Raw genomic sequence first — 23,519 nt, 5'->3', positions numbered from 1 at the left:
GGTAATCTTATAAAGCAACAGGTCAGAGGGCCAAATCCAGCCCTCTGCCTGTTTAGTTAAGTGAAGTTTTATTGAAGTACAGCTACACAGGCTGGTCCACATATTGTATCTGGCTGCTTTGGTGCTACAATGACAGAGCTGAATAGTTATGACAGACATTGTATGGATCACAAAGCCTAAAATATTTACTTTCTGGCTCTTGAAAACACAGTTTGCTGCCATTGTTATAGAGCCCAGTGTAGTAAAGATTAAATAAATTCTTCTTTCTGTTTCCTTTTCCTCCTTCTTGTTATGGAAAGAGACCAAGAAAAAGAAAAACAAATGAAAAATGAACATGAAAGTTACTCTTTTTTTTTTTTTTTGAGACAGGATCTGGCTTGTTGTCCAGTCTGGAGTGCAGTGGTGTCATCTCAGCTCACTGCAATACCCGCCTCCCAGACTCAAGCAATCCTTTCACCTCAGCCTCCCAAGTAGTTGGGACTACAGGCATTCGCCATCATGGCTGGCTAATCTTTGTGTTTTTGGTAGAGATGGGGTTTCGCCATGTTGCCCAGGCTGGTCTCGAACTCCTGGGCTCTCTTGAACTCCTGGGCTCAAGGGATCCGCCTGCCTAAGCCTCCCAAAGTGCTAGGATTACAAGCATGAGCCTAGCATTGCAGTGAGCGGAGATCATTCGGCCGCGCTCTGCCGGAAGTTACTTTAGATTCATTTTGTCTAACTTCTTTAAGGTTATGAAGAAACTGTAGTCCAACACAGTTCTGCCTCAATCTCCTCATCTGTAAAATAGAGATATTTTGATTTTTAAATGTGCTAATAGAGTCATGCACCACATAAAGAATGATGTTTTGGTCAAGGATATATGACCCACCCATATATATGAGGGTAGTCCCATAAGATTATAATGGAGATGAAAAATTCCTATCACTTAGTGACATGGTAGCCGATGTAACATTGTAGCGCAATGCATTACTCATGTGCTGGTGTAAACAAACCTACTAGTATAAAAGCATACAACGATGTACAATACATAATAACTGATAATGATAATAAACAACTATGTTAGTGGTTTATGTATTTACGATACTATTTATCATTATTTTAGAGTATGCACCTTATACTTATTTTAAAATAGCTAACTGTAAAACAGCCTTAGGGAGGTCCTTCAGGAGATATTACAGAAGAAGGCATTGTTATCACAGGAGACAACTATTGCCCCCAAAGACCTTCCAATGGGGCCGGGCGTGGTGGCTTATGCCTATAATCCTGGCACTTTGGGAGGCCAAGGTGGGTGGATTGTTTGAGCCCAGGAATTTGAGACCAGCCTGAGCAACATGGTGAGACACCTATCTCTACAAATTACACAAAAATTAGGCCAGTGTGGTGGCACAGGCCTGTAGTCCCAGCTACTTGGGAGGTTGATGTGGGAGGATTGCCTGAGCCTGGGAGGCAGAGGTTGCAGTGAGCTGAGGTCACACCACTGCACTCCAGCCTGGGCAACAGGGCAAAACTCTGTCTCAAAAAACAAACAAACAAACAAAAAAAACAAAAACAAAAAACTTTCCAGTTGGACAAGATATGGAGGTGGTTCTTGACCCTGTGTAGACCTAGGCTAATGTGTATGTTTGTGTTTTAGTTTTTAACAAAAAAGTTATATAAAAATAGAAAAAAGCATATAGAATAATGACATAAGGAAACAAATATACAAAGAAAAATTTGTGTATAGCCGTACAATGTGTGTTTTAAGCTAAGTGTTAATACAAAGGAGTCAAAAAGGTTTTAAAATTTTTCAAAGTTTATTAGGTAAAAAAGTTACAGCAAGCTAAGGTTAATTTGTTATTGATGAAAGAAAAATATTGTTTATAAATTTATTGCAACCTAGGTGTACAGTGCTTATAAAGTCTACAGTAGTGCACAGTCTTAGGCCCTCACATTCACTCACCACTCGTTCACTGACTCACCCAGAGCAACTTCCAGTCCTGCAAGCTCCTTTCACAGTGAGTACCCTATACAAGTCTACCATCATTTATCTTTTATACTGTATTTTTACTATGCCTTTTCTATGTTTAGATAAGTTTACATACAAAAAACACTTACAATTGCCTGTGGCATTCTAGAGCTTACCATTGCCTATGTTACAATCGCCTATGGTATTCAGTACAGTAACATTCTGTACAGGTTTGTAGCCTAAGAGAGATAGGCTATACCATGCACCCTAGGTGTGTAGTAGGCTCTACCATCTAGGTTTGTGCAAGTACACTCTATGATGTTTACACAATGGTGAAATCGCCTAACAATGAAATCGCCTAATGACACATTTCTCAGAACATATCCCCTTTGTTAAACAATGCAGGACTGTATACATATAAGCAATTAGAACAGTGTCTGGCACACAGTTTTGCTATTATTAGTATCATCGTTAACTTCTCTTCCCTATGAACATCTGAAAAACCCCTATCTTTTTTTGTTTATATTAACATATACACAATTCATGTCCTTCCCTGCAGAGAACGTGAGAGAATGAAGGCAAAGGGGGAATCAAAGCTGGAAAGGCAGAAACAAGTGACCCAAGGCGCCTGCTTGGCACCAAACGACTCCTCAGGTAAGCCCTAGCCAGCCCCCATCCCCGCCCCCAGCTGGCCTGTGCTAATGGAATTCAGAAGGTAACACAATCCTCAGGCTCTGAATTCTTGGAGGATCCTGGCCAGGGGCTATGGGAGCTGGCAGGAGGCCGGGAGGCTGAGGGCTGTGATAAAGATCAAGTGCCCACAGCCCTCCCGTCCCTTCCATCCCACCCGGGGCTGCCTCCTGAAGCCTGGCCTCAGTGCAGGTTTGCAGATTTTCTCTAACTGGCTGTCTGGCTTCCTGGAGAGAAAGTGTTCAAGCCCAGAGAGCCTCAGGAATGAGAGTCTAATCAGACCCATGTGTGGAGAAAACCTCTACTCCTTTTTCTTAGTTCTTGCTGCTTTCGTCCCCACCTGGGAAAAGACAGTAGCCCAATAGGGGAGGGCCTTTCCTATGGGGGGAAAGCTGGTGGTCAGGGTCCCCCTTCCCCCGCCCCCACATTTTCCCCCATGGCCGGGGCTTAGAGACTTCTCTGTCACCCTGCAGGGGAACGGGGATCCAGACAGGGCTTTTGCTCCTCCACCCACCCCAGGATGAACCACAGTGAGAGTAACCACTGAAACACAAGATAGTTGGGACCTCTGGGTGTCAAACAAGAAGGAGGGTAGAAAACACAAAGAAGGCAAGAGACATAGTCCTTTTGGAGACTCAGCCCCTGCCTAAGCTCCCTGTCTGGGGCAGAAACATGAGTCGCCCACAGGATACAAGAGAAATAAGACAGAAACTTTTTTTTTTTTTTTTAACTCTGTACCTCAATGGATGCAAAGGGACAGAAACTTATGAGCAAAAATTGTTTGACTCTTACAGGATCCAAATTCCCGGCAAAGCACAAACAACCATGGAAAGAAACTGCTTGGAGTGCTTTCTGCCATCTTCTCACCAAGTTCAGGAGTCAGCACTTCTCAATGCGTCTCGTCTACACCATGCACTATATAGGCACTTCTACATACTGCCCATTCTCATTACTTAGGGTACTTACGCCCTACAAAATCACTGCAGACCTCGAACCTCTGGTCAGAACATTTTCATTAACCAATCAATACATAGCCTTGTTTTATGAGCTTCTATGAAGTATGTATCATTGATTCATTAACATTGAACTCACAGCCCACAACACTATCATTTCGGCCTGAACAAAGCTTATCTAACAGACTTCTTTTCTCAGTAAATCTCATCACAGTCTTCTTGTGCTTAGGAGCAGGAGACACCACTTCAGTGCTATGCTTGGGGACCATTTTAGACAGTGAAATCACCAAGAAAAAGCACAAAAAATGCCAAAACCATGGCACTAAATAGACTGCAAAAAGGGCATTTGTTTACAGCATGAGGGCTGAAAGAAGAAGGAAGAGCATGCCTTATCCAGCCTCAGCTGGGAACGTGATTTGAATTTCTGCTGCTCTGTGCATGTCTGCAAATGACCCCAAAAACATTGTAAATATTGATTTGAGGGTTACAAATACATTTTTGTGAGTAGGCAAATTTGCAAATACAGAGGTCACAACTAACAGGACCAACTGTACATTATCTCATTTACTTCTCCTAGCAATTCTATGTGGTAGGTATTATTATTATTATTATTATTTGTAGAGACAGAGTCTCGCTTTGTTCCCTAGGCTGATCTCAAACTCCTGGGCTCAAGCAATCCTCTCTCCTCAGCCTCCCAAAGTGCTGGGATTACAGGTGTGAGCCGCCATGTCCAGCCTGTGGTGGGTATTATTATTCCAATTTTAAAGATTAGAAAACTTGGGAGCTGGACACGGTGGCTCATGTCTGTAATCCAGTGACTCAGGAGGCTGAGCAGGAGGATCCCTTTAGCCTAGGATTTTGAGGCTGCAGTGAGTCCACCACTAGTCCAGCCAAGGTAACATAGCAAGACTCAGCTTCTAAAAAAAAAAAAGGTTGGGAAACGGAGGCTCAGAGGGGTTTATGTGATTTGTACAAGGTGGTATGGCTAACAAGTGGCATTTGTATGTCTCCCACATCAAGCTTAAGACCTTTCACTTGGATAAAACTCTACCAGAGAAGATCATCCTGCCTCAGTCAGTCTTTTATTCTGTTATCTATTTGCCATACCTAAATGGGCTTGTTCAGCTACTGCTGTGGGCTGGTGTGTTCTCTTTGATTTATCTGGGGGTGCTTATGGGGATGGGGAACTATAACCCTCTTCCTCTATCCCCAGATTGAACTCAGATTCTTGAGTAGAGAGAGGGCCTCTCCTGCTGTTTATTCCCCAGGAGCTCTGCAAGCAGAGTCTTGAGAAAAGCAGCCCCCATTCCTATCCTGTATTCAGCTACTGCTACAGGCTCACAGAGCAGGTCGTCTGGGGCAAGTGTGGGAGGGCTCAGGTAGGCTCTGCATCAAGTCATTCAACAGATGCAACAGATATTGGGCCCCTGCTATTTACTTAGTCCAATATCGAGCTTGCCTCGGGGACACTGTAAAGACATAGGAAACATCTCCACCCTGGTCTGCTTTCAAATAAGTTACCTGTGGTGTGGGAGATTAAGACGCAAACATCACAGGCCAGCCAGAACCGTGCATGGTGCAGAGCTGAGCTCAGTGCAGCCTTCAGTGGGTAAGAGCATCCATGAGGGCTGGCGTGGGTCCTTCTTCATGGAGAAGGAGTTTTGAAGTGAACTCAAATAGTGAAAGGGATAGATAGAAGGAAGGAGGGGAGTTCAGGCATAGCTTGTGAGGAGATCAACGTGGCTAGAATCTGGGCTGCAAGCTCAGGACGGAGTTTAGCAGCAACAAAGAAACAATCCAGGAAAGAATCCATGAAGGTGCAGGAGATGACAGAGCTGTGACTAAGGGTTGGAGGCTGGAACTGCACAAGGCAGCACATTCTTGGTTACTCCTGAACAATGCTGAGCGGAGCGCAGAAAAAAATGATGCAGGTCCCTTGCCAGTCACAGTGGGGCTTCAGCCCCTTCCAATGCAGCCTGATAATAGGACATGCTACAGAGAAGTGGAAATGCCCTGTCAGGGGTTTTGTCTTTATCCTCAGAGCCCCATAGCTGCCTTTACCTCCCCAATCCATTTTTTATACTCCCCATCTCCAATTGATTCCTCAACCCACCCAATCTGGCTTCTGTTCCATTTCTTTTCTTTTCTTGAGACAGGGTCTCACTTTGTCATCCAGGCTGGAGTGCAGTGGCATGATCTCTGCTCACTATGGCCTCGACCTCCAAGACTCAAGCTATCCTCCTGCTTCAGCCTCCCAACTAGCTGGGACCACAGGCACACGTCACCATGCCTGGCTAATTTTTTGTTACTTTTTATAGAGATGTGGTCTTGCTATGTTGCCCAGACTGATCTCAAACTCCTGGGCTCAAGCAGTCCTCCTGCCTCAGCCTCCCAAAGTGCTGGGATTATAGGCATGAGCCATCATGCTTGGTCCCCATTTCTTATAAAAGCCATTTTCATGAAGATCACCATTGACCTTCAAGTGACTATGTCCAAGGCACATTTTTTTTTCAGTCTTCAACTAACTGGATAGTTCTCTTCTAGAATGTAATAATCATGAAGTCAAGGAATTTTGCATTCATTAGTACAGTCCCAGAACCTAGAACAGTCTGGTATAAGTGCCTGATAAATACAGTAGGTGCCTGATAAATACTCAGTGAATAAATGAGTGAACTTTCTTTCCGTGGCTTCTGCGACGCCATGCTCTCTGGTTTTCCTTCTACTCCCTGTCTGCTTCTTCTCTGCCTTTTTTTTTTAGACTCTTCTTCTTTATAATGTAAGATAACTCCAAATCTCCATCCTAGACACTCTCCTCTTCTCATCCATATTGTTTTTGTTTGGGACACCTTATTTGTTACCACCATCTGTGGCTCATAGTATTGTCCAAGAATGGTCACACCTATATATTTATCCCATCCCACATACTCCTCTTAAAACATAACTGACACTCTTCCACCAAGAAGTAGGGTCTAAGTTTCCTCCCCTTGAATCTTCCTGGCAGCTTATGACTTCTTTGGTCAAATGGAAGTAACGCTGTATGAATTCAGAGGTTAGGTCATTTGAAGAATTCAGTTTCCACTTGGATCTCTCTCTTGGGTTTCTTGATTTTAGAAGCAATCCATCCTGTGCTGAGGAAGCCCAGGCCACGTAGAGAGGCCATATGTGGGTGTTGGCAGCCAACGACTCTAGCTAAGCTCTCAGCCAGCAGCCAACATTAATATCATATAGGCCAGGCGTGGTGGCTCACGCCTGTAATCCCAGCACTTCGGGAGGCCAAGGTGGGCAGATCACGAGGTCAAGAGTTCAAGACCAGCCTAGCCAATATGGTGAAACCCCGTCTCTACTAAAAACACAAAAAATTAGCTGGGTATGCTGGCGGGCACCTGTAGTCCCAGCTACTCGGGAGGCTGAGGCTGAAGAACCAATCACTTGATCCCAGGAGGTGGAGCTTGCAGTGAGCCGAGATCGCACCACTGCACTCCAGCCTGGGCGACAGAGTGAGACTCTGTCTCAAAAAAAAAATAATAATAAAAATAAATAAATAAATAAATAAAATAAAAGAAAGAAAAAAATATACATAGTTTCAGGTCCCAGCCATTGAGTCTCCCAGCTGAGACCTCAGACACTGTAGAACAAAGTCATCCCCTCCATGCACTGTCCAAAGTCTCAATACAACAAAACCGTAAGAGATAATAAATGGCTGTTGTTTGAAGTCACCAAGTGTTGAGGTAATTTGTTACTTGGTGATAGACACCCACTATACCATCTGTATGCCGATATTCTCTAAATGTATATTTTCAACGCAGTCTTCTCCTTTGATCTCTGGATCCATATATCGAATTGCCTGCTCAGCATCTCCACTTGGATGTCTCAAGGGAGCTGTGATCTCACCACGACGAAAACTGAACTCTAATTTTCCCAGAGTTCTGATCCTTTTCCACTGTTTTCTTTCTTAATAAATGGCTCTACCTTCCAACCATTTTCTGAATCCAGAAATTTAGGAATCCGTCCTTAACCCTTTCTTTTCCCCACTGGTCCACAAGAAATCCATCAATAAATTTGGTCAATTTTACCTTTTAAATGTCTCTCTTTTTTTTTTTTTTTTTTTTTTTTTTTGAGACAGAGTCTTGCTCTGTCTCCCAGGCTGGAGTACAGTGGCATGATCTCAGCTCACTGCAATCTTCACCTCCCAGGTTCAAGCAATTCTCCTGCCTCAGCCTCCTGAGGAGCTGGGATTACAGCACGTGCCACCACACCTGGCTAATTTTTGTATTTTTAGTAGAGACAGGGTTTTGCCATGTTGGCCAGGCTGGTCTCAAACTCCTGGCCTCAAGCAGTCTACCTGCCTTGGCCTCCCGAAGTACTGGGACTCCAGGCCTGAGCCACGGTGTCTGGCCAAATGTATCTTAAATCTCACAACCTCTCTACATTCCCACCTTCGCCCTGATCCAACCCACCATCCCACCTCACCTGCTTGCACCCCTGCAGTAGTTTCTTGTCTTCCCAAATCTAGCCTGCTTCTCTCCACTTTGTTCTTCACACTGCAATCAAAATGATCCTTATTTGGAAATTAGCTGGGCGTGGTGGCCTGTGCCTGTAATCCCAGCTACTCGGGAGGCTGAGGCAGGAGACTCTCTTGAACCCAGGAGGTGGAGGCTGCAGTGAGCCGAGATCGCACCATTGCACTCCAGCCTGAGTGATAGAGCGAGACTCTGTTTCAAAAAAAGAAAAAAAAAGCCCGTTTCTGCGCGGTCACGCGGAGCCAGAGCCTGGAACCGGGCTGCAGCCCCTCAGCTTCGCCGACCGCCTCCGGACCACGGACCCCCACAAAGCGAATGAACTTCGGGCCTTTGTGAAAATGTGTAAACAGGATCTGAGTGTTCCATACACCAAGGAAATGCGCTTCCTGAGAGAGTGGGTGGAGAGCATGGCGGGTAAAGTACCACCTGCTACTCAGAAAGCTAAATCAGAAGAAAATACCAAGGAAGAAAAACCTGATAGTAAGAAGGTGGAGGAAGACTTAAAGGCAGACGAACCAAGTGAGGAAAGTGATCTAGAAATTGATAATGAAGGTGTGATTGAACCAGACACTGATGCCCCTCAAGAAATGGGAGATGAAAATGCAGAGATAACAGAGGAGATGAGGGATCAGGCAAATGATAAGAAAGTGGCTGCCATTGAGCCCTAAATGATGGTAAACTGCAGAAAGCCATTGACTTATTCACAGATGCCATCAAGCTGAATCCTTGCTTGGCCATTTTGTATGCCAAGAGGGCCAGTGTCTTCGTCAAATTACAGAAGCCAAATGCTGCCATCTGAGACTGTGACAGAGCCATTGAAATAAATCCCGATTCAGCTCAGCCTTACAAGTGGCGAGGGAAAGCACACAAACTTCTTTTTTTTTTTTTTTTTTTTTTGAGACGGAGTCTTGCTCTGTAGCCCAGGCTGGAGTGCAGTGGCGCAATCTTGACTCACTGCAAGCTCCACCTCCCGGGTTCACGCCATTCTCCTGCCTGAGCCTCCGGAATAGCTGAGACTACAGGCGCCCGCCATCACCCCGGGCTAATTTTTTTGTTTTTTGTTTTGTTTTGTTTTGTTTGAGACAGAGTCTCGCTTTGTCGCCCAGGCTGGAGTGCAGTGGCGCAATCTCTGCTCACTGCAACCTCCGCCTCTCGGGTTCATGCCATTCTCCTGCCTCAGCCTCCCAAGTAGCTGGGACTACAGGCGCCGGCCACTACCCCCGGCTAATTTTTTGTATTTTAAGTAGAGACGGGGTTTCACCATGTTAGCCAGGATGGTCTCGATCTCCTGACCTCGTGATCCGCCCATCTCGGCCTCCCTAAGTGCTGGGATTACAGGCGTGAGCCACCGCGCCCGGCGGGAAAGCACACAGACTTATAGGCCACTGAGAAGAAGCAGCCCATGATCTTGCTCTTGCCTGTAAATTGGATTATGATGAAGATGTTAGTGCAATGCTAAAAGAAGTTCAACCTAGGGCACAATTGCAGAACACTGGAGAAAGTATGAGCGAAAACGTGAAGAGCGAGAGATCAAAGAAAGAATAGAAAGAGTTAAGAAGGCTCGAGAAGAGCATGAGAGAGCCCAGAGGGAGGAAGAAGCCAGACGACAGTCAGGAGCTCAGTATGGCTCTTTTCCAGGTGGCTTTCCTGGGGGAATGCCTGGTAATTTTCCCGGAGGAATGCCTGGAATGGGAGGGGGCATGCCTGGAATGAATGGCCAGAATGCCTGGAATCAATGAAATTCTTGGTCATCCAGAGGTTCTTGCAGCCATGCAGGATCCAGAAGTTATGGCAGCCTTCCAGGATGTGGCTCAGCACCTAGCAAATATGTCACAATACCAGAACAACCCAAAGTTTATGAATCTTATCAGTAAATTGTCAGCCAAATTTGGAGGTCAAGCATAATGTCCTTCTGATAAATAAAGCCCTTGCTGAAGGGAAAGCAACCTACATCACCTTATGGATGTCGCAATGATACAAACCAGTGTACCTCTGACCTTCTCATCAAGAGAGCTGGGGTGCTTTGAAGATAATCCCCTACCCCTCTCCCCCAGTGCAGCTGAAGCATGTACAGTGGTTTGCCATTAGGGTATTCGTTCAGATAATGTTTTCCTACTAGGAATTACAAACTTTAAACACTTAAAAAAAAAAAAGATCCTTGTTTGGGACACCTGAATGAATTTTCCTTGCTCGTAAGACCAAGACAAAAATCCTTAACATGAGCAAACCCTACGAGATTCGGCCCTTGCCTAACCTCTCAAAATCCCTGCTGTCCTCCCCTGGATCTCTGCTCTGCACTCCACTGTGACAGTTCCTGGATTGCACTGAGCTTCTCCCCACAGAGGGATGTGCAGACATGGTTACTATTCTCGGGAAATCTCTTCTGCCCCCTGTCTTTTACCAAGCTAATTTTCATGCATTCTTCAGATCTTAGCTCAACCAAGGAAACCCTTCCTGACTCTCCCTCACCTTCTTTGTAATGTCTTCTGTAATATACTGTCACTGCTCCATGTGCTTTTAAATCCCAGCCTGTCTCTGTCTTTAATTGCACATCATCCATGAGACTATTTGATTAGTGTCTCCCTTACAAGACTGAAAGCTCCAGGTCGGCAGGAACCACATGTCTGTTATGTCCCTTACACCACGCACAGGCATTCCGTAAATATCTATTGCTTATGGAATGAATGAACGAAGGTGTGAATCCAAAGTGAGTAACAGAGCAGCAAGTTCCAGCCTTGAGGCCCAGGACTGCATTTCTCAGTTTCATGAACCCAATACACTGGGGAGAGCCTGTTGTGAACCACACAGCACCCTCTTCTTTCTCCAGAAGATACATTTTCTTTTTAACAGAATATACATTTTCTTCATGTTTCACATTCCACACCCCAGTGTCAGTGTGGGGATAGGGGTGAGGGATGTCAATTAAATTAATCATGGCAATCCCCTCGCCCAGGATTGATTGAGGAATAGGCATGAAACACAAGGCTAGTGAGACATGAAAGGAATTTGAGTTTTATAAAGGGACAGGAAGATGCTCTTGGGTGAGGATGTGATACTTGGAGCCACTGTAGTCTCTTGTGGCCCTGAGGGAACAAAGGCCGAATACATGGCAGAGGCAAAGGCTCCTGGTGGGGAGAACCCACCTCCTCAATGAACACATAAAATGACCACCCTTGAAACTGCTGATTGTATGGAACAATAAATTGTTTCTTATTGGTTTAAGCCAGGGTTTCTCAACATCACCACTGACACTTTGGGCCACATAATACTTTGTTGTGGGCAGCTGTGCATTATGTGTGGTCCTGTGCATTGTGGTATGTTGAGAAGCATCACTGGCCACTACCCACTAGATACCAGTATGACTATCCCCCACATCCCAGTTGTGACAACCACAAATGTCTTCAGACCTTGTGAAATGTCCCCTGGGGAGTAAAATTGCCCCCAGTTGAGAATGACTAGTATAAGCCAACTGAACTAAATTTTCTATTACTTGCAGCCAAAAGCAGCTTAACTGATACAGCACCTTTTCAACTTAGTTTACCCATAGCAATCTCTTTTTACCACACCCACATCTGCCTCTAGCACCAGAGCTGCTCATAGACCCATTCACACAATTACATCTTCCCACCAACCCCATTCAATCATAGCCTTCCTACTCCTGCTTTACCACTCACTTCCCCAGCCCCAGCTCCAACCATCTCTGCCTCCCCCTTCTCCTGCCACTTGCTGTGAGAGCTGATGGCAATGCTGTCTGTTACTTGCTCTTGCTCTAACATCGCTCTCTGCTACTTCTGCTCCTCATCAGAAGGAGGTCAATAGAAGCTTCCTTCAAACTTCCCCTGCCAAGGCTCTTTCTCCACCCCTCTATTCCCACTTCACTAATTTCATCTATCCATCCATTTATCCATCCATCCATCCATTATTCAACATTTATTTTGCACACTTACTATGTGCTTGGAGCTACAATAGGCACTGGATAGTGAATGGATTCAGATATAGAACTTGTCCTTAAAGAGCATACAGTCTGGCTAAGAAGACAGTTCACTAAGCCAATGACAAGTACTATATAAGTGTTGAAGATATCTGACCTACTATGAAAAGAAAAAAAAACGCATTTTCACACCTTGAGTGGCCCACACATTTAATTAGGTACTCAAGATAATGGAAAAAGTGGTCTTTACCTATTCACGGAGCAAGTCTGGCAAAACTGTATCTGCCAATGTGGTTAGTCCAGTTCCAGTAACTGGATGCACTTGGGAGAAGGGAGAGGGCCTAAGAAGAACTGTGTTCTGTTAAGTCAGACTTTTTTTCCCCTGTGGACTTTTCTCCAACTGGTCTGAATTAGTGAGGTCTAACTGCTTCTATTTAAGAAAAGGCAACAAAATCTTGAGGGCGTGCCTCCAAAAATCTTGCCAAAAGACACACACGCACACACACACAGGCACACATCACCACCACCACCAACTCCATCATCCACACACTCTGCCCTCAGGACAGGGACACACAGTGACACACACTGTCAGGCAGTTAAGGAAAAAGCAGAAATTGGGCATCCGTTCAAACAGCTTGAAGTTAAGAGATGGAAGATGGCTGCCGGGAGGGCAGAGCAGAGAGGGGCTTTGGTAAAGGAACCACTCCAAGCACAGCAGAAAAGGTCTCGCCCGAAGATTCTGGATTTCCTCTTTGGTTCTTTCAAAGAATGAGTCTCTGGTTCTATTTGGCTGGGGGACCAGCACTTGTGGGGTGTGGCCTTGAGCTCCCTCTTCCCCTGCACAGTAACGCTATTGTTCAGTAACTGCGGCCAATTTATGGAAAGAGGTGGAATGTTTATGTAACTGACTCTGCTTTAGACAAGATGTTTGAAAGTGGAAAAAAATGACTGATGGAAGGAGGCCAGTCCAAACACGGTTTTTCTTCCTTTCTGGACACAGATGTTGGAAAAATGAGGAGAAGGAAGGAGGGAGGGAGAGAAGAAAGTCGGGGTCTGAGAAGGAGTGCCAAAGTCCAAGCTGGCCAGAGACAGCCAGAGTCTGTCTTTGAGGCCAGGGGCAGAGCCTTGGAGCAGAACCTCCGTTTTTGGAAGCTGCTGTTTTAATTAAATAGGTCAACCCAATCAGGACAGCTCTGGTGTGGGGTCTGGGTCTCATTAGCCTAACATGGGTGGGGTGGGGCTGGCCTGGGGGAGTGGATCCCTTGGTGTGTCTGTAGTGGGGGGCAGCCTGAGATGAAGGAACTTCTTTACTGCTTCCCCCAAAGCCAGGCCCCAGGCAGCTGGAGCTGCCAGGAGGGGCAGACCACAGATGGAGAATGTGCTTCATTAAGCACGAGTCAGTCCACTCTGCAGCCTGGAGGCCCAGGCAGACTGGAAAAATCAGAACTGCTTTGAAAGGGAGTCACAGGAACAAATCTCACCCCTTCACCCAGCCCAGGTGCGGGGTAGTTAGGAGAACAAGATCCATACCTACACTTTCCCTTGGACCTAAGTTGGGCACTGAAGGCAAAGGCAGAAGTAAAGAGAAGATGACATGATTGTCTTCCAGGTTACAGGACTCCTGTGCTTGGGAGCTTCATCTGATAGGGGAGACTGGTTCCTGCCATTAGAGACCCCTAGTTTGATGGGGGAAGAACTCAATCCTGCACTTGGGGATACCTAGTAGATAGCCCCCTAACCCTGGGATCCCTAGTCTGGTGGGAAAGGCAGGACTGTAGTAAACGAAATAATCAAACTCATACAGAATTGGCATGTAAGCAGGTTCAGTGAGTTTTATGCAATGTGGGGACATCATATACTAAAGGACTTATATTTACAGTGGATCAGTGTTAGGGATGGTTCCTAGAGGAGGAAAGTTTTGAGCAATAAGATGGCCGTGGCTTGGCTAGGACCGTAGCCTGTGTGTGAGCATCTGTGATTATGCATTCTTGATTCTTAGGGGACAGGACTTAGGAGCCCATGTCCCCAGAGGTCTTAGTTCAACTGGCTGGGGGTGGTGAGGTAGGGCCTGGAGGTCCGACCTCTCAAAATAGGAGAATAAAGACAAATCAGCTGACCACCTAGTTTTCCCCAAGGGCTGGCTGGGTCAGGTTGCAATTTCGTTTCTGTCAACACATCCCAGAAGCCAGGGACTGTCAGGTGTCCCCCAAGATTAAGACGACTATATAATTTATCATTTAAATGAGGACTTTGGAGACAGTAGGTGTGTTATTAATCATTATGCTGGGCCCATAGGCATAAACCAGGCCTGTTCCAGATAAACCAGGACATTTAGCCTCCCTTCCTTCTAAGATCTTTAAGGGCCTGTGTGTGTGTGTGTGTGTGTAGCTGAGGGTTATGAGAAACTGAAGGATTAGCTTCAAATATTCTCCTCAACACCCCAATTCTACTTGATTTTTAGAGAAATGTGATTATTATGGTAAATAAAACATGTATGTATACAATGTGTGCTTATAAATAGTATATGTGTGTATGTATATATATATTTCTAGATAGATGATAAGAGATATATACACATATAATACAGAAGTCAATGAATTTTTAAAAAATGTGTTGAAATTAGGCCAGGTGTGGGGCCTGTAATCCCAGCACTTTAGGGGGCTGAGGCAGGAGGATCCCTTAAGACTGGGAGTTTGAAACCAGCCTGGGTAACATGGTGAAACCCCATCTCTACAGAAAAATTTTTAAAATTAGCCGGGTGTCGTGGCATATGCCTGCAGTCCCAGCTACTTGGGAGGCTGAGGTGGGAGGATTGCTTGAGCCTAGAAGGTCCAGGCTGCAGTGAGCCATGATCACACCACTGCACTCCAGCCTGGGTGACAGAGTGAGACACTGTCTCAAAAAAAAATTAAGTTAAAATGAGAGACCTCAAAATACAGTTGTTATAGCAAGTCTCCTGGGACTATGTCCCCAGCATCTCAAGGGGCACTATCATAGACGTATTCATGGCTGCCCAAATGTTTTCAACACCCTCTTGATATTTTGATAGTCTTTCAAGGATGCATCCTACCTTTCCAATGAAAACTAAAACAAAAGAAAACTGCCCTTATTTTTTCATTTCCGTTGCTGCTAGGGGTGCTAGTCGCACCAATCTGAGCTAATCTTTGTCTCTGAACAGAGTTACCTAGGGACAGGGACATGGCAGGAAGGGGTCCTCCCTTTTTGCTGGCACCAGATCACAGCAGGCACAGAATGGGTTAGAACTGGCAACTTCCTGCTCCTGACGGAGGCAGCTGCTCCCCTGGCAGCCAGATCTGCAGTGTGGCTCTGGGAGTCATCCTGGAAGCTCAGACTCTAGTCTGTTTTTCAGCCCTCTTAATACCCTTACTGAATCCTCTCATGCTTAAACCAGATGGGGAGGATTCCAGGTTTTTATATTTGCTTTGTTTTACAAAGAAGGACCCTGATCAATTCAGAGGATGCAAGGGCAGAGTTTGAGGAGACTCGTTACCTACAGTGTGAGGGATGGGGAAATTTAGCCCCAGAAGATGAAACGGCTGCATAAAACAAAACCATCCCATCTATCCAGTGCCCAGCCCCAGCCTCTTTGAACAACCACTTGCTGTCTTCTGTTCTTCCCTCTTCCTCCCCTCCCCTGCCCCATCTCTGGAGCTCCATCACATTTCATGTCCTTGCTTCCTCATACTGTTCCTCAGAAGTAGGGAGGTCAGGGAATGCTTCTCTCTGGAAGGTAAAATGCTACTCTGGAAGGTAAAATGATGTGCAGAGAGTGCGGGATAGTTGTGCAGCTGGCTAGCGGTGGAGCTGGGATGACACATCCATTCTTAATCTGGATCTCATTGTGTAGGGGCTTGGTGTTTCCCAAGCTAGGGCTCCCTGGAGCCAGGAGCAGCTCAGGCATCTGTAAACCTCATTATAATTGGTGTATAGTGAAAGGGCAGACTGACTCAGATTTCAAGTCCCACTTCTGCTCTGATGCTAGTCCTGGGCAAATCACCGGCCATCTTTCGGCTTCATTTACCTCATCTGTCAAATGAAGAGGTTGGTCTAGATCACAAATTCTTAACCTTTTGGGTGTCGTAGACTTCCTTAAAAATCTGATCTTTGGGCCACGTTGGGGGGCTCACGCCTGTAATCCTAGCACTTTGGGAGGCGGAGGCAGGCAGATTGCCTGAGCTCAGGAGTTCGAGACCAGACTGGGCAACATGGTGAAACCCCGTCTCTACTAAAATACAAATAACTAAATAAATAAAATTAGCCGGGACTGGCAGTGTGTGCCTGTAGTCCCAGCTGCTTGGGAGGCTGAAGCAAGAGAATTGCTGGAACCCAGGAGGCAGAGGTTGCAGTGAGCTGAGATCACTCCACTGTACTCCAGTCCAGGTGACAAAGTGAGACTCTGACTAGAAAAAAAAAATCTGATCTTTGGCCAGGTGCAGTGGCACACATCTGTAATCCCAGCACTTTGGAAGGCCGAGGCAGGTGGACTGCTTGAGGTCAGGAGTTTGAGACGAGCCTGGCCAACATGGCAAAACCCCGTCTCTACTAAGAATATAAAAATTAGCTGGGCATGACGGCGCAGCCTGTGATCCCAGCTACTCGGGAGGCCGTGGCAGAAGAATCACTTGAATCCAGGAAGCAGAGGCTGTGGTGAGCTGAGATCATGCCACTGCACTCCAGCCTGGGCAACAGAGCAAGACTCTTGAAAAAAAAAAAAATCTGATCTTTTTCCTTCATCCCCAGTCCCTCCCTCTAAAAACTGTACAGACAATATTTTCTATAAAATTTCAAGGGGGTCATGGACTGTTTGAAGTCCATTATTCAGTAAGAGGATTCAAAGCTTTTTTTTTTTTTAATCAGACTCCCAAAGGGATTTATGACCCCCGAATTATAAGAGCCCTGCTCTAAGGTCAGCTTGAGCAATGATTCTGGAGAGCTCTGTGAAAAAGCCTGCCTGCTGATCTTGGCTCTGCCCCTGGAAAGAGTGTTTCCCTTCATTGAGCCACAGTTTTCTCACCTATAAAATAAGGATAACAATACCTGTCCTGCCAACACTATAGAATTGTTGGGAGAATTACACCGTAATAGAGGTGAAAGTTTTTTGTAAACTGTAAAGTGTTGTATAAGAGTGATCAATCAGCCAGCTCCCTTCCTTTTTCTAAAGCCTGAGGGATTGTGGCAACATCAGGCTAGAGCTGGCAGAGTTCCTGGTACCACACAAGGGCCTGAGAACTGGACCCCAGTAATGTTGTCTCTTACAAATGGGTGACTCTCACCCTCCCATGGGACCTTATTGAGGCTTCATCCTGTTCCACTGTTCCAGGCCCATAAACAGCACTTCCACTGGAGCTCTTTGCTGTCTGCAGCGCCCTCTTCTACTTTGCTGACCGAGCCTGCCCACTGTCTGGAACAGTCACGTGCTCATTCATCCACTGCTATTCCACTAGGTAGCAGACAGCAGTCAAGGAAGTAGGACGGGCATGGTGAGTACAGTATCATCTGTCCCAGCCTGTGGTCCACTCCGTGACACTCCTAATTTCTTAGGCCACATGTCTAAATGTGAGGTTCAGAAAGCATGAACCTAGGACTCACTCCCCTTGGGATGCTGTCAGATTGAGGGCATGCAGAGACGGGCATCTGCAGCTTGAGAAGGAGCCAGGATACACACTCACACACATACACACACAGTTGCAATCGCCCAGGAAGGGCCTGTCTGTCACAGGCCTGGCCTGGCCTGCATGGCACCGAGGTGCTACATCAAAGGAGAGCGGTGGAGTCGGCGATTACTCGGGCATGTGGCTCACCTTCCTGCCAGTATTTTCCCTGACAAGACTTTACTTGCCACCCACATTTTCCTCTCTGGTAACAGAGAGGATTAAAGGCTCCTCAGTCTGCTTCTAACTAAAGCCCTCACCACTCCAGAAACTACTGGAGCTACTGTCTGCAACTCCTCCTCTCCCCCAACCTGCCTCCCCTGTCCTTGACTCTGCCACTCTAGGATAGTCCCACACAACCCTCTCTGGGCCGTGGGGATGATGCTGGAGGGTGTAGATCAGAGCCGGCCAGCCCCAAAACGTTGACCCTCTGGTGCCGGGTAGTTTTCACTGGGCAGTCCCTGGGAGTGAACTAGGGGGATGGGCTAAGGGTCCCCAAGAAGCAAGAACATGGTGCCCAGAGGGCCCAGAGGAGAGGGGATGTGGTTGTGAGCCAGATGGGAGCTGCATGATTCCCTGTACAAGGGATCACGGAGATCCAGGCCTTGACTTGTCCGATATGGTAGCCACTAGCAGTATGTGGCTATTGAGCATTGAAATTGAAATGTGTCTTGTCCTAATTGATATGTGTTGTCATTGTAAACTAGACACCAGATTTCAGACTTAGTACAAGACAAAAAAGAATATAAAATATCTCAGTCAAAATGTTTATATTGATTACATGTTAAAATGACAATAATTTGTGTATATTTGGGTTAAATAAAATATATTATTTAAATGTTTTATAATTTAAAACTTTTTTTTATTTTTTAAAAATTAAGGGACTGGGTGTGGTGGCTCATGCCTATAATTCCAGCACTTTGGGAGGCTGAGGCGAGAGGATTGCTTGAGTCCAGGAGTTCAAGACCAGCCTGGGCAACATAGTGAGACCTTGTCTCTATTAAAAAAAAATTTAAAAAAAAAGTGCAGTGGTATAATCATAACTCACTGTAGCCTCGACCTCCTGGGCTCAAAAGATCCTCCCTGCTTAGCCTCCTTGAGTAGCTGGAACTACAGATGTGCAACGCCACACCTGGCTAATTTTTAATTTTTAGTAGAGACAAGGTCTCCCTGTGTTGCCCAGTTTGGTCTCGAACTCCTGGGCTCAAGTGATTCTCCAGCCTCAGCCTCCCAAAGTGCCGCGATTACAGGTGTGAGCCACCACGCCCAGCCTTTATTATTAAAATTAATGTCACTTTTTTTAATGAACTTTTTTTTTTAATGTGACTACTAGAAAATTGAAAATGACATTCATGATTCGCATCGTATTTTTATTGAGCAGTGCTGGTCTAACAGAAGTAAAGTGTTCCCCACGGGGGGATCAGCCACGGAGAGGGGACCAGTGAGAGAGAGCCTGCTGTGCCCACTTTGAAGTCTTCTCTACCATCAGTCTTGTTCAGCTGGGAACAGGAGCCTGTGAACAGCTTGCCTGACAATGAGACTGACCGGGAGCTAGAACTAAAGCTCCTGACCCCATTCTAATGCTCTGTTCTCTCAAGACAGGACCCCTCATTCCCTCATACCTGGGGCTGGGTTGATGAATTTGTGGCTTACGGTGTAGGGGAGGGGGAAGGTACCCCCAGGACTCTGGGCATCTGTCTAGGGGACCTTCACTGCTGGACTCACCAAAGTTTTAGGGACCAGGACGTGGTGGTAGTACATGTCTCTTCCTGCCAGGAGCCCTTGTCACAGCCTGCAAGCTTAGAAAAGAGAGATGCCCCTTCCAATGTAGGGCATATTCTATTATTTATTAACCCCGAGGAGGCCTGCCCACGATGGCCTTCCAGCTGGTTAATTGGATTTCATGACAACTTTTTTAAAAGGAATGTTCTGAGGAGCAGTGTTGTGTCCTGCCCCAGGGGTCCTGTGAGGTTTCCTCCATCTCCTTGAAAACTCAGCCACTGCGGTATAACATGGAGCTTTAATCATACATGTCAGTGTAGCTCCAGTCCCATCAGAAGCTGTGGTGGGGCTGACACAGCCACTGATGCTCCAGGATGAGAAATAAGTCCCTTTCTTACCTATGATAGAGAAAGTATCTTCTGTGCTTGATGTGTGGGCGACTGCTAGTTAATTTGTGAGGCACTTCTGCTTCGATTACAGCCCCTCGTAGGTGAAAGTGTGCTGCTTATCACAATCAGAATGTCATAAGTTTGCATTTCCTTCTGCTGAGGAGACATTAATAGACATAAGGTCCTATGATAATAGCTATTAGCATGGCTGAGGCCCCTACTTAAACAATTGCTTTGAGACTAGGCAGCTAAACACTAGTATTTCATGCATGGGCTCATTGCTCTTCCTCCCAGGTCAGTTTTGCTATGGTTGTTTCATCCAGAGGATGTTCAGGGAAGGACAGAAGGGGAGCCCCCTGCAGATTCGTGGCCACCCACTGTCCCATGGCCTTCAGATAAGGAGAGGGACAAAGCCTGCTGTACAAAAAAATCTATGTATGCACAAAGCTGCATTTTTAAGGACAGGCAAGAATTCCTGGTGTTATGGTAGAATTTACTGGAGAGCCCTTTAGACTGTTAGATTCCTGCCAGAATGGGTTGTTTACAGGGAGGTCTACTGAGGATGGAGACTGGGCAACTTAAAACAAGAAGGCAAGGAGCTAACCCCATGTTTAGTGTCTTTCTTGTGTAGAGTTCTGACACTAGACACTTACAGTAAGTATGTGCCCATAAACCACTATCCCATGGACCCGAGGGTAGAGCCCCTTCCTAGGATTTGGAAGGGACCCTGGAGAGAAGGAATGGGGGTGCGTACTGAGGTACTAGAACCCCTAGGGATGAGTGCAGTGGAAGTTCAGATAGCCATGGAATCTATCCTTTGACTGGGTGCTCTCTTTTTCTGGAGGACATGCTCATAAAACAACAAATTGTCACTCTAAACTATTCCCCCACATCAACAAGGACAAGGGTCCCACAGCTATTCATATTGTGTGCTTGGCATTATGTAAAGTGACTTACATACACCATCCCAATAACTTAGTTATGGGTATAGTTAGCCACATTTTACTCATGAAGAAACCTGCGCTTACAGAAGTCAAGACATTTACTCAAGGTCACAAAGTTATAGGAAGCCAGGATTGTAACTAAGCTCTCTGATTCCAAAGCCCATGTTTAATTTCTACTTTATAATGCCTTCCAAAAAAAATCTCCCCCAAAACTATGATTCTAGTTGAAAAGTAATTCTAGAGAGGGGGGATATTACATTTTATGTATCACAGAACAGACCTATAGTAGCCCTGGAAAGGCTTCACACAAAATGTGGACCTTGAAGTGGCCTTGAGGGCAAGTTACTCTTTGTATAAGTGGGGGCATGGAGAGGTTATCCCAGGCTAAGGGAAAAGCAGGAGTGAAGGCTGGGAGGTGAAAAGTTGCAGGTCAGCAAGAGAGGACATTGAGAGGACAGAAGTGGCTGGAGCAGAAGGTTCCCCCCAGGGAGCAGAAGGTGGGGCTGGGCATGTAGCCTGGGCTGAGGTCTGGAGGGCATTGAAAGTCAAACCTGGGAGGTAAAGTATTCCTGTTTGCCTGGTGATTTAGGATGATCAGCTACAGAATGGATGGAGTGGAAATGCTTGGGGACTTAGGGGGCACCCTGGGCAGGGCTGAGGCTGTGGACTTCACCTCGGTGGACCTTAATCTCCCCTGCTGTGAGAAGGGTAGATAACCCTGGGTGCTCAGAAGTCTGGGCCCCTGTGGAGCTTGGTGATGCTAAGGCACCTGATGGATGCTAAACCACCTAGGTTATGGCTGCCAGGTGCAATGGCAGAGGTGCAATAGTAGCACCTTCTTTTTCAATGTAAAGATAGCTAGAGGGAGAGAATTGACTAATTGTGTGAGAGCAGAGGGAGGAGTTCAGGTGACTCTGAGACTCCAGTTGGAGGATGTGAACAGAGTATCCCTCTCAGCAGTTGGTCCCCAGCACTGCCTGAGGCCACACCCAAATCTAGGAGCTCCAGTCCACCCCCTTGGGCACTGGCATTCTGCATGCCTGGCTTGGAGGTAGGGTCTCCCCAGCTCCTCCCTGCCCCCTCTGCAGAAAAGCTGAGACTTTTCCCATTTCTCCTGCCTCTTGTTTCTCTAATTTTATGATTGTATGAAAATAAGGTTCCCAAATTGCCTTTAATTAGCTTTAATAAGACAGCCTTTTTGCTAATTAAAACGATTATTAAGAAACCATTTATTGAGAATGAACACAGTTGTTAGAACCTACGAGAATTCTGAACTCTTAATAATAACAACAGCAGCCACCACCAGCCCCATCAGGCCCCAGAAACTCAAACTGGGTAGTGCTCAGGCTGGGGGCCCAGGGTTTCCAACTTTTCCCTCTCTCCAGGGCACCTTGTGGGCAGATGCTGCCTGCAAGCCTATAGTTACTCCTTTCCCCAGCACTGAGGTTCTCTCTGTAGAAAATGTCCCCGGTAAGTAAGCACTGACAGGTTTGCCTGTTAAAGGGTCTGGTGCAGCCAGAGTAAAGCTGGGCAGGCAGTCAGGAGGCCATGAAACCTCCAGTCACTTCACCTCCCTGGACCTTTATCTCCCCTGCTGTGAGAAGGGTGGGTGGGCCTGGGTGGCCTCAGAAGCCCAGGGCCCTCTGGAGCTTGGTGATGCTAAGGCGCTGGTTGGAGCCTGCACTCGTGGAAACCCACACCTCTGGGTAATGGGGGAGTCTGGGGCTAGCAGAGCCCAGAGCTCATTTCATCCTCCTCTCCTCCCTCTCCAGGAGGACTGCTCAGGCAGCTGAGGCAAGAGACTCCTGTCGCGAAGCTGTTGAGGAGACTCGGAGACTCTGGGCTCCCGCTAGGAGCAAGCAGGCGCGGTGCAGCGAGGCGAAGCCCAGGCGCGGGGCCCGGAACGCGGTGGTGCAGCTCCCCGGTCCCCGGGTCTCTGACCGCGGTGCTCTCTCCCGCCCCGGGCTGCGCAGCTGCTGACAGCTCCTGGGTGATGGCGAACGGCTTGTGCTGTCACATTTCCTTCCTGTAGGGAGGGGGTGGGGAGCTGGAGCCTGGAAGGGCCGGGACGGGGAGGGAGACTACCCAGGTGGAAGGCGGTGCAGAAGGTTGCTGGAGAGAAGACGCCCCGGGCAATTTCTAGTGACGTCGTCTAGGCCGTATCTACCTTCTGGGGTCAGGAGTCTTGCTACACCCTAACCCCGCCTCCTCCAGAGTCCTCCCAGGGTTTTTCCAGGGACCTGGTCAGCTTGAGGTCTTGGCAGCACTTGAAAAGCAGCGGTGGTTTTTGATTTAGTTGTTTAATTTTTATTTTTAAATATTACAGTGGAAAGAACGTGGACTTTGGAGTCCCATAGCCCTGGACTCCAATTCGGTGGGTCGAATACCTAGCTTTGTGACCCTTTGTGACACTCAACTGAGCTTCGTTTCACGACAGCTTTTTTCCCATGGGGCTGCTGTAAGGCTTAGATGCAATAATGGAGGTGAGGTTGCCCAGTCGGTAGCCTAAGACCCAGCGCTAGTGTCGGGGGAATGTGCACTTGACCTCAACCAGTGAAGGCGAAGGATAAGCTTCCAGGCCCTAAACCCGAGGCCAAGCCGGCCCCGGTCTCCTTGGCGCTCGCTGGCGTCCAGGGTCGGCAGCAGGGCTGGGGACAGTGGGAGTGGGTACTCGGCGGTTCCCAACCACGCCGCATGTCGGAATCCACGCGGACGTCTGAAGAAACATCCGCTGGGGGCCTCAGCAGAGTCCA

At 46.9% G+C, this 23,519-nt stretch overlaps 1 pseudogene, besides 4 other annotated features; it reads left to right on the top strand.

Moving 5' to 3' along the window:
• On the top strand, window positions 8,325–10,210 carry ST13P19 (ST13, Hsp70 interacting protein pseudogene 19; annotated as a pseudogene).
• Window positions 9,250–9,855: an enhancer, noted in NCBI's record as "H3K4me1 hESC enhancer chr1:210439137-210439742 (GRCh37/hg19 assembly coordinates)". NCBI's record gives its function as "activates a minimal SCP1, AML or CMV promoter by ChIP-STARR-seq in primed H9 embryonic stem cells {active_cell/tissue: H9 hESC(primed)}" and the evidence as "EXISTENCE:reporter gene assay evidence [ECO:0000049][PMID:30033119]".
• Window positions 9,250–10,023: a biological region, named in NCBI's record as "Sharpr-MPRA regulatory region 1241".
• Window positions 9,729–10,023: an enhancer, noted in NCBI's record as "tiled region #1241; HepG2 Activating non-DNase unmatched - State 7:EnhWF". NCBI's record gives its function as "activates a minimal TATA promoter and a strong SV40 promoter by Sharpr-MPRA in HepG2 cells {active_cell/tissue: HepG2}" and the evidence as "EXISTENCE:reporter gene assay evidence [ECO:0000049][PMID:27701403]".
• Window positions 22,614–23,168: an enhancer, noted in NCBI's record as "H3K27ac-H3K4me1 hESC enhancer chr1:210425824-210426378 (GRCh37/hg19 assembly coordinates)". NCBI's record gives its function as "activates a minimal SCP1, AML or CMV promoter by ChIP-STARR-seq in primed H9 embryonic stem cells {active_cell/tissue: H9 hESC(primed)}" and the evidence as "EXISTENCE:reporter gene assay evidence [ECO:0000049][PMID:30033119]".

Source organism: Homo sapiens, chromosome 1, assembly GCF_000001405.40.
Source record: "Homo sapiens chromosome 1, GRCh38.p14 Primary Assembly".
NCBI classification, from domain to species: Eukaryota; Metazoa; Chordata; class Mammalia; order Primates; family Hominidae; genus Homo; species Homo sapiens.
The sequence above is the reverse complement of the archived record's forward strand: the minus strand, read 5'-3'. Positions and strand labels throughout refer to the sequence as shown.